The sequence below is a fragment of the Homo sapiens genome, chromosome 11 (assembly GCF_000001405.40).
Source record: "Homo sapiens chromosome 11, GRCh38.p14 Primary Assembly".
NCBI classification, from domain to species: Eukaryota; Metazoa; Chordata; class Mammalia; order Primates; family Hominidae; genus Homo; species Homo sapiens.
Genome location: NC_000011.10, coordinates 48,362,408 through 48,371,501, shown reverse-complemented (window position 1 = coordinate 48,371,501; position 9,094 = coordinate 48,362,408). Strand labels below are relative to the sequence as shown.

General features: G+C 36.2%; 1 protein-coding gene across 1 annotated transcript; it reads left to right on the top strand.

Moving 5' to 3' along the window:
- The first annotated feature begins 5,036 nt into the window (after positions 1-5,036).
- OR4C5 (olfactory receptor family 4 subfamily C member 5) lies at positions 5,037-6,017 on the top strand. Its single transcript, NM_001348223.2, has one exon. It carries the CDS (start codon positions 5,037-5,039, stop codon positions 6,015-6,017), a length of 981 nt encoding a protein of 326 aa, NP_001335152.1.
- The last annotated feature ends 3,077 nt before the right edge of the window (positions 6,018-9,094 follow it).

Here is a 9,094-nt window from a genome sequence, read left to right as displayed (position 1 = left end):
CAAAGTTTGCTAAGCAACACAAAGCTGGTATGTGTCAGCACCTCCTCTCCCATCACACCCAATGGATGAGACACAGCATGGAATCAGTACATAATCACACATAATGGCATAATAGTTAGAGCTCAGGCTTAGAATTAAATCAATCTGGATTTAAATTTAAACTGCCAGTTATTTGCTCTTTGACCTTCGCCAAATGATACGCAGAGTGAGCATCAATTTCTTTACATATAAAATGGAATAAATACCTTCCTCACAGGGACTAGGTGTGAATTAGATGAGATTCCAAACTTAGCAGAGTGATAGTGCTGATAATTTGTTAATTCTCAGTGTATCCTCATTTCCTTTATCTCCTGTAACCATTTCAGGGAATCATCACTTCATTGTCAGATGTTTTATTGGAGAGAAGATCAAACACTCATAGGAATATTTCATAATTATGACTTATGAATCAGTATTCAATACTTCAAAATTTGGCTTTTCTTATCTCCTAATTTCTAGAACTCTCTACATCCTACCAACCATAAGAGTAAAGAAGACAAACTATATATATGAGTTGAGACAATTCTTGCCAGAAGCCTGAATCAGTCACACCATGAGTTCTGATTTCCTTTACAGAAAATGATAACAGATAACAGTAAGCCTTTATGCTTCCCCAACCACCATTCTAAGTACTTTACATGCATTATCTCATGTAACCACCACAACAGTCCTAGGAGGCAAGAACTATCATCACCCCCCTTTTTACAGATGTAGAAACTCAAGGCTGAGGAAACAAGGTCACCTAATTAGTAAGAAGAATCAGTAGGGGCTGGGCACAGTGGCTCAGGCCTGTAATCCTAGCACTTTGGGAGGCCGAGGCAGGTGGATCACCTGAGGTCAGAAGTGTGAGACCAACTTGGCCAACATGGCGAAACTCCATCTCTACTAAAAATACAAAAATTAGCCAGGCATGATGGCAGGTGCCTATAATCCCAGCTATTCAGGGGGCTGAGGCAGGAGAATCACTTAAACCCAGAGGCCAGAAGTTGCAGTGAGCCAAGATCGCACCACTTCACACCAGCCTGGGTAAAAGAGCAAAACTCCATCTCAAAAAAAAAAAAAAAAGTCAGTAATTTACTCTTAAGCATGATTCAGATTTATAATACTAAAGAGCAGTTTCTCTAGCCTACATGTGTCTATCTTCAGAGTATTAATAATATAGCAGTTTTTCACTGACAGATATCTTCACATGTTATCTTGCTCAATTCTCCCTATAACTCTATGGGGCAGGTGTTATTAGAGTTGTTTTATAGGCTCTGATTGGCCCATGGATCCATACCCCCAATGACTAGAACATTCTGGGTCTAGGGTCTCAGGATTTAAGATCACTTTGTAACCACAGTCATAAGAAAGGCTGTTAACCTAGCCTAGCTGGCTTTCCCCCAACCTTTTGGTCACAGATGTCATGGTCACAAGAGAAAGAACAGGATAAATTGGTTTGGCTACCACCTTGGCTGATGCTAATTCTAATCTTCTGGGAGATGTCAGAGCATTCCTAACTCCTCGCACTTGAATAATATCCATTAAATATTTTCCTGAATCCACATCTGAAAATCTTGATAAGGACAGACTCAGGATTTCTGACCCAGGAAGACCACATAAGCATAACCAGCCACAAATCACAGATGCTGTTTCGTTCTGAATTTCCAAATTTGGATCCAGACTTCCCAGGACCAAAGGAGCTGTCTCCAGCCTGAGCACGTGCTTACCAAAAAAAAAAAAAGGGGGTTAAAATAAGTGATTTAAAATAGAGACTTGCTACTTCAAGACAACATTGATTTGTTGCTGATTTCATTGCGCTTGCAATCCCAAATTTTTCTGTTTTAACTTAGTTTTCAATATTCAGGGCTATAAATTGGGTTAGACCTCAGATCAAGTGATTTTTATAATATCCTTCATCTGGTCACCAAGAAAGCCTGGCAAATGCATTCTAAGGCGACTTGGAGAAAGACGTCCTTCAATGGCTAGGTATTTTTCCCATCAATATCTGTTGAAGACTAATGGAAACCGAAGTCAGACTTTGGAAGCTGACAAGAGAAATTCACATTCATTTCTGAGCTCAGATGCTTGTGTCTCACACTCACAGGATGATGTGATCCAACAGAGCAAAATAAATCCAGCCCGTGAACTCAGCTGTATTTAGGAAGTTTCTCTTACCAGTCATTTTAAGTCACCAATTGAGGAAAACATATATAATACTTAAGTTAAAAATGGATGAAATCTGCAAAGCAGCAGTTAGTGATGAGCCAGTGAATGCTAACTCCATGCAAACTGCTCTCTACAAATAAGATGTCTTGCTATTGAATGACCCCATTACTTCTTTACCTTATTAGTCATTTTTTCTCAAGATAATACTAGGGTCTTCAATTTACAGGTGAGTTATATTTAAACATGTGTTTCTACTGTTACAGATTTTTATGAATAATAACCAAAATAGTCCACTAAGAAAAACATTCACCAGGGATATTATAGACCCTGACTTGATAATAAAACTTTTATTAAATTATTTTACTGACTACAAAAGTAATATATTCTCTCTGTAGAAAACTGAGATCAGAAACTTTTTAAAAGAACATTAAAATTTCCCTTAATCCCATAATTCATATAAGCATTATTATCCTTCATGTACTTTTTTCAGATATATTTTTAGTGGATATATGGCATTTTAAACAATTTGGGTCATAATATATAAACTATTTTATATTTTGTATTTCCCACTCAATATTATATTGAAAGACTCTTTCCACCCCATTAATTCTCAGTGTATTTTTTTGTATAAATAATTATTATTAATTATTTTGCAAATAACTTTAATGTTCACTTGACATAGAATAACTATAATTCATTTAACTGTTCCTCTTTATGTATATTTGGAGTTTTTTACCTTTTTATTAGTATAAAAATATTGTGAAATACAACTTGTATACATAATTTTGTCTATATTTTTTATCTAGAGTAGATTTCTAAACATAAGGAATACTGTGCCAAGGGTCATAACTAGTTACAAAACCCTTATTATAATAAGGGGTCAAACTTCTTTCTAGAATGTTTTATGTCAACACACATTCACCACCACTGAATAACACAACTATCATAAATCTTTGCCAATTCATCAGTATTTTACTGTTTTAAAATTGCATTTCTTTGGTAACTTATGAAAGAGGACTTTTTAGATGTCTAATGTTTTTTCTGAGAATTATCTTTTCTTAGTTTTACCCTTATTTACACCTTAATTCACACCTTAATAGTGTGAGTAAACATTTTAATTTGTTAACTGCTTTTATAATAACAGTTGTCATACTTGTTGCAATTATTTTTCCAAGGTGTTCCATACCTTTATGTAGCTGAGCTCATCAGTTTTGTTTTGTATCTTATACCATTATATTTTTATTTTAAAATATCCTTTCTTAGCTACAGATGAAATATATATTGATTTTTTTTTTGGTTTTGAAAAGATCTATGTTTTACCTGAAGTCTTTAATACATGCTATTCTTTTTTCTCTTTTTCTTTGGTTCTTTTTTTTCTTTTTTTGATGATTCCATTAAGAAGAGACTTATTTCGTTTTGAAAAACACCTATCTAGTTATTTTAAAATCTTTTATGAGCTACACATAATACCTTTCTAAATATTATTCACAAATAATATCCTTTGGTGGTATTACCATATTTGTTTCTTATTGAGCTCATTTCTATTCTTCAGTTTTCTTTGTATTTTTAAAATATCAAAAAGCTTTTTAATTTAGTTATCAAGTCTAATTTTTTATTGCCTGATGTCTTTCTGTGTTACACCTTTTTTTCTGAATATAATTGCTTGTTATTTACCTTGAGTTGAGTACTGAGTTCATTTATTTTCTCTCTTAATATTACAATGATAAATAACTTAAAGATAAAAATAATTATATGCAAAATTTTGTTTACTTGTGTTCTTTATCAAGATGTGGAGTACATGGTAAGCTATAGGTTTACCTTTAGGATACAAAGCTTGATATATTTAATCATGATATTCTTTAGTTCCTCCATTCCATTTGTTATTTTTCCCATTTTATATATGAAAAAGTTTAGGCACAATGAGACTAAGATCTGTACACAATATCATGTGGCTAATAGTCAGTGAAGATAAAATGTAAAAATTAGGCATCTGATTCTAAAAAACACTCTGTCCAATAAATTATGGTGCTTTTTTTCCCTCACCTTAAAATTATGTTTTCTAAACAGATCCATATAATTTTTCATAGTCATCCTTAAATTGGGTTTTGATTTGCAAAATGCCCTGAATTCTAAACATGACAGTTCTCCAAGTGAATTCTAAAGTTTCAGATACATCTGGGGAATGCTGCCTTGCATCATGCTGTTTTATCCTCTTCCAGGATATGCTTCCAGAAGTGTTTGATTGTATTCTTAGACAATTCTGTTTGGATGTGGCATAAATTCTCAAATCTAACTGCCATGGAGTATCTTACTGCAGCCTCAAACATTCACTCAGTTCAGTTGATTCTGAAATGTGGTGGCATCATCCTTAATTTCAAAGTGAACTCACCTGATGTTTTATAGTTACCCTGAAACAAGTTAAAAATAACCAGAATAACAAACTCTGCACCGTAGCCTCATGAACATGAGTGGTTAAAAAAAAAAAAAAAACGAAAAAAAAAAGAAACTAGGAAATTGACAGGAATTCAAGCCTCTGCTCCTCCTCTTTTTACTGCTGTTTTTCTATGGGGAAAAAAATGCTGTAAGGGTGATTGAGAGAATATCCATCCATGTACAATCATAGGAAAAATGCCTGACATGTCAACATCATAAAATCATGTTTGTGTACATAAATGAATGTGTGTATGTGTTTTTCTGTGTCTGTGTGTGTCTCTGTATGAGAGAGAAGAGGTATCTGTGTTCATTATGTCATGAATAACATAGCTCAACTTAGTCTTGGGTTTATAGATTTAGGGATTCCATCAGTGTTACAGAAAATAATCCTGACCAAAATTATTTTATTGTTCAAAATGTATGTGTCAAATTGCAATCCTTGTGCTATTCACAGAAAAATCAATTATCCAAATACCAAACTGGATTTCGAGCAAGTGAACAACATAACGGAATTCATCTTGCTTGGCCTGACACAGAACGCAGAGGCACAGAAACTCTTGTTTGCTGTGTTTACACTCATCTACTTTCTCACCATGGTAGACAACCTAATCATTGTGGTGACAATCACCACCAGCCCAGCCCTGGACTCCCCCGTGTATTTTTTTCTGTCTTTCTTTTCCTTCATAGATGGCTGCTCCTCTTCTACCATGGCCCCCAAAATGATATTTGACTTACTCACTGAAAAGAAAACTATTTCCTTCAGTGGGTGCATGACCCAGCTCTTTGTAGAACATTTCTTTGGGGGAGTTGAGATCATTCTGCTCGTGGTGATGGCCTATGACTGCTATGTGGCCATCTGCAAGCCCCTGTACTACCTGATCACAATGAACAGGCAGGTATGTGGCCTCCTGGTGGCCATGGCATGGGTCGGGGGATTTCTTCACGCTCTGATTCAAATGCTTTTAATAGTCTGGCTGCCCTTCTGTGGCCCCAATGTCATTGACCATTTCATCTGTGACCTTTTCCCTCTGCTAAAACTCTCCTGCACTGACACTCACGTCTTTGGACTCTTTGTTGCCGCCAACAGTGGGCTGATGTGTATGCTCATTTTTTCTATTCTTATTACCTCTTACGTCCTAATCCTCTGCTCACAGCGGAAGGCTCTCTCTACCTGCGCCTTCCATATCACTGTAGTCGTCCTATTCTTTGTTCCCTGTATATTGGTGTACCTTCGACCCATGATCACCTTCCCTATTGATAAAGCTGTGTCTGTGTTTTATACTGTGGTAACACCCATGTTAAACCCTTTAATCTACACCCTCAGAAACACAGAGGTGAAAAATGCCATGAAGCAGCTCTGGAGCCAAATAATCTGGGGTAACAATTTGTGTGATTAGAGAAGATAAACACAGAACCTACTCATATTTTAACAACAGGTATGACTAATGAAAAGGGTAAAGGTCTTGAGGTCAGAATAGTGAGTTTAAGTATATTTTATTCCCCTCATTTTCTGGAATCTTTAATGATGCCTTTTCATAAAAGATCAATATCTGATTAAATGATGACTAATGTTTCTGCCAATTTGAAACTTCTTCACATTTACAAATTATTAATCAGGGGGACATTGCTAGTCAACATAAAAATGTTACAGTGTATGGAAAACCCATGAGTTTATGTGTTTAGTAGAATAATTATCTGCAAAGCTTCGGTATAGAGTATATAACTAACAGGCCAAATAATTAAAATAAACAAAAAGACCTAATGGCTAAATCTTTTGTTGAAAATGCATAGTTTTAATCCCAACTAATAAAATCGAAGTAGAACTATTATTGTGAGAGAGAGAGATAGGTGAGAAACGATTGGGTTTTGAGGAATGAGAGTCGTTAAAGCAGCACTCATCCAAAATTAATGCTGTTGTGTTCACAACTCCAGGGGTGATCATTTACAGTATAATCTGGCTGTCTCCAGAATAAATTATTTTCTCTGTCTACAGCCAAAGAGGTGTAGAAAATTCATCCAGGTACAATCATAGAACAATCTTGGACATTATTTCTCAGGTAGAAGATATTTTGTGAAGCACTTTTTTTCTGTCGAAAATATCCTATACACCACTTCACCTCAAAAATGGCTTTTATTGGATGGATTTGTGCCTTAGCTAATAGAAACAAAGTAGCTGACCCAAAAGAGAATTGGTGGCTGGGTGTGGTGGCTCATGCCTGTAATGCCAACACTTTGGGAGGCAGAGGCAGGCAGATCACTAGAGGCCAGGAGTTTGAGGCCAGCCTGGCAAACATGGTAATATCCCATCTCTACTAAAAATAGAAAAATTAGCTGGGCGTGGTGGCCATGCCTGTAATCCCAGCTACTCTGGAGGCTGAGGCACGAAAATCACTTGAACCCGGGGAGCAGAGGATGCGGTGAACCAAGATTGTGCCACTACACTCCAGGCTGGGCAACACAGTGAGACTCCATCTCAAAAAATGAAAAAAAGAGAATTAGTGACATGTGAGTAATTAAGGCAGAAATTCTGCACATTCAAATTTGAATAAAGAATTGTAGCCCAGCTGCAGACCATTGAGATGGGAAGTAATTTGAGATGTGGATACAGTGCAATCCTAAGAAAAATAATCCAGATTTTTAAAAAGATCTAGACCAGAGCCAGGCCAGAAGTCCTATAAATCTCAGCAACTTCACTTCTACCTTCGTAAGAACTGAATTAACCCACAGGACTAAACAACTATGCTTAACTCTTATGTTAAGTATATATTACATACAAATTAATATTCAACAGTTTAGTAAACAATTTATTCCAAGGAGATGAGTTTTTCTTAATTGTGGCTAACCCATTTTCTGGTCATGAAATATCTATGTGCTACCACTATGTTTTCCAGCCCACTCCTTTTTAAGGAGAGCCACATTTGCAGAAGTGATATATGTCACATTGAGGCATAACCATTTAGGAGCCAGCAAGCTACTCCCCAGCTTTATTTTTCTCTGCTGCAGCAAACCTGGGAGACACAAACTGATATGAAACAGCTATACAGAAGCAACAGTCTGGATTGCTGAGTAACTACATGGAGAACAGTTCCCTAGAGGATCACCCAACCCACAGCTCAGCAGATTTGGCTTGAACAGGAAATAAAATTGTATGTGTTAAACCACTGAGAGTTCAGAATTCATATGTTACCACAGCAAAATGCAGCTTATGCTGACTAATGACACAACTAACTTTATCTTTTAAAGGACTTATAACAGTTAACGTAACATTTGCAATTATCTTGATTCTCAAATAGCATAGAATGGGTAAATACCAATCCTTACACAATCAAGTCTAAATAGAGCCTTTTTCAGCTTTGGTGTAGCTCACTACGGTAACTGACAAATTTAAGCCATAAATTTATAAACCATCTTCTTTTTCCCTTTACCTAAGTTGTAAGGCAATACTGAAGAAAATTATACAATTATACACTAAGGGGATGCCAAAAACTTGTGAACTCCAATATGAACTAGGTCTTCAAAACTTCCTGAGCAAAATTTCTGGCTATCATAGACAGGTCCTTCTTTCTACACATTCTTGTTTGTTTGTTTGTTTGTTTGTTTGTTTGTTTTTGTAAGTGGTTTATTTCACAGCAATAGATAACTGAAATGGGCAAAGGTGGAAAACAGATGCAGGACACCAGTGGGCCAGCTTTTGTGGTCATTTAGGGAAGAAATGACAGACTCGTGCAGACCAGTGGAGGTGAGGATAGTAAGTGGTCGGATTCAGGACACTCTTTATTAGTTCAGTTTTCAGGTTGGAATGCTAGGAAAAAAGAGGTATAACAGAAAAGCAGCAAGTCCCTGCCTGGCTCTCCTCTCCAGACCACTCCTTACAGACAACTACTTTAGACTCCTGGCTCTCTCTTTGATAGCTACCACCATATTGCACCAACCAGTTGCTTATACTGTTAGCTTTTTTTTTCCTTTGTTTTGCTTTTTTAAAAAAAATAAGATTAAACCGTTGCATGAGAGAAGTCCTTCTTAATCAAGAAACAAAACCTCAAAAGCATAAAAACACCTCCAAAAAATAAAAAAAACTTGTGTATTATTTAAAAAATGCCACAAAGTTAAAAGAGGAGCTATAATGAAAATATTTGCAAAATATGACAAAAATCTCACACCCTAAATATATAAACAATTCTAAAGGAAAAGACAGTCAAATAGAGATTAGTATTCAGCTGCTTTAAGAACTTCCCTTTATATTGCTGCATTTTGATGTATGAGTTTTAGACATGTCTCATCCTCCACTGGCTTCTCAGACCATGGTGGTCTCAGGGTTCCAAGAAGGTGAGAGGAGAAGTTTCGAGACTTCTTAGAGCCTCAGCTGTGGAACTCACACAATGTCCCTTCTTTCTTGTCTTATTGGTCAAAATAACTCATAAGGCCAACCAAGGTCAAAAGGGTGAAGAAATAGGAACCACCCCCCACCCCACTG